The sequence below is a fragment of the Homo sapiens genome, chromosome 11, assembly GCF_000001405.40.
Source record: "Homo sapiens chromosome 11, GRCh38.p14 Primary Assembly".
Lineage (NCBI taxonomy): Eukaryota > Metazoa > Chordata > Mammalia > Primates > Hominidae > Homo > Homo sapiens.
Window position 1 is genome coordinate 182,534 of NC_000011.10, and position 2,534 is coordinate 185,067.

Below are 2,534 nucleotides of genomic sequence, written 5' to 3' on the forward strand. Positions count from 1 at the left end.
TATGATGGCTTATGGAACTAGGAAATACTTACTTATGTTTACTAGTTATTATGGTCTCAATGTGTGTACACCCCCACCCCAAATTCCTATTTTGAAATGTAATCCCCAAAGGGATGGTATTCAGAGGTAACCGAGAGGTGATCGGATCATGAGAGTGCTGTCCTCATGAATGAAACCAGTGCCCTTATAAAAGCATCTAGGAGCCCGTTTCCCCATTCTGCCATGTCACGACATGCTAGAAGGCACTATCTATGATAGATGAGCCCTCACTAGACATCAAATCTGTCAGCCTTGATCTGGAACTTACCAAATTCCATATTTTAGGAATTTTTATGGAAGCTTCATCATGTAGACATGACGGATTATTAACTCAATTTCCAGTCCCTTCACACCCTCAAAGGATTGCATGTTAAGCTAAAAGTCAGAACCTTCTTATCATGGCTTGGTCTTTCTGGTGACCATCCCCATCCTGAAACCATCCAGGAACCCACAGAGTGTCCTTATTAGAACAGAAGCCATTCCTATTATACAGGAGATTCCAAGAGATTTAGGAACTCTGCGTCAGGAACCAGGGCCAAAGACCAAATATTAGAACACAAGATGCTCCTAGCACCCCTACTGTTCAGGAAATTATAATAGTTTTAGAAGCTCTGTACCAGGAACTGCAGACACAGACCAAACATATATTTCTTATTAAGTCCCAACCTGGAATCTTGATCAAGAATGAATTCCTTGTTCCCAATGGTACAGGGGATGAAATAAATGGCAGATAGTAGGAGCCAGGTTCCTCACTATTACAGCGAGAAGTTACAGATAAAAAATAGGGAAGCCTAGAATGATCTCTGTCATAATGAGTCAGAATATATATATACAACGTAAGTATAAACTCACATTTAGCTTAACATATACATAGATGGTTCCACATAGAAACCTTTATAATTAAGTGGGTACATATAAGTTAGAAGACACACATATATTTCTTTGCACTGTCAGCTCTAAGTGTCATGATGCAATGACCACATTTAGTGGCCAGATGTAAGTTTTTCATACCATTCTCTAACAAAAGAAATCAGGGCTATTAGAAGAAATAGCTGAAACTAGGACTGGGACAGAAAATATATGAGCCAGGGTACTTTTGAAGTAACAGAAATAAATTATAAAAAAAAAACATGAAATTATGTAAAAGGAGCCAGTGGAAAGAGCTACCAATGGCCACAGGTATGAACAAAGAGCAACAAAATACTGTACAATTAGATAACAACCAAAAGATTAAAGTAACTATCTGTGGACCCATACTGGTATAAATAAATGATTAAACAGATATGCAAATGGACTGAATAGAAATCTCTTACACAGAAGAATTCCAAATACCTGATATAGACAGCCATCAAGGAGGTGGGGCTAACTCCCCACTCCTTTAAGTATGAGCTCTGCATGATGACTTCCTCCAAAAGCATACATACAATATAGACATGGGAAAAAAGTAACTTCACAGTGAAAAACCTGAAAACACTGCCTCAACCAAGTGATAAAAGTTAACATTAATGGTGATAACACATCTTGAGAGCATGAAGTGACTAGACTAGCACTTGCAAACCAAAAATAAAATTCAAAGATCTTTCCCACAACCACCTCTCCACCAGGGGACACCAAAGTTAACCTGGAAGACTGGTTCAGGCTATGATGGGAAAGAGGTGGTCAGACATGCCTCATTATGCCCTCCTCCCTTTTGGAATTCAGGAAAAGCCAATCAGCATTTAACATCAACACAACCTTAAATCTGATAAGAAACATTTACAATCTATTCTCTCTGAAGCCTGCTACCTGGAAGCTTCATCTCCATGATAAAACCTTGGCCTCCATAACCCCTTATCATAACCCAGACACTCCTTTCTATTGATAGTAAGTCTTTCAACAAACTGCCAATCAGAAAAATTTTAAATGTACCTATAACCTGGAAGCCCCACCCCCCAACCCTAATCCATTGGGTTGTCCCACCTTTCTGGACCGAACCAATATATATCTTAAATACACTTGATTGATGTCTCCTATCTCCCTAAAATGTATAGAACCAACCTGCACCCCAACGACTTTGGGCACATGTTCTCAGGGTCTCCTGAGGGCTGTGTCAAGGGCCATGGTCACTCATATTTGGCTCAGAATACATCTCTTCAAATATTTTACAGTCTTTGACTCTTTTTGTGGACACACTACACATCTGCTCTGCTTCCCCCAAACCCCTAAACCCAGGCTGATTATGAGAAAAACCCCAAGTAAACCACAATGGAGGACATTCTACACAATACCTGACCAATCCTCCTAACACTGTTCCAGGTCCTCAGAAGTAAAGTCTGAGAGACTGTCACAGCCAAGAAGAGCCTGACATGATGACTAAATGTCCTATGGGATCCTAGATAGGATCCTGGGAGAGAAAAAGGCAGAACTAAGGGAAACCAAATAAGATGTGAGCTTATTTAATAATATAGTAATATCCAGTCATTAAGTATGACAAGAAATGATGTAAGATGTTGGTC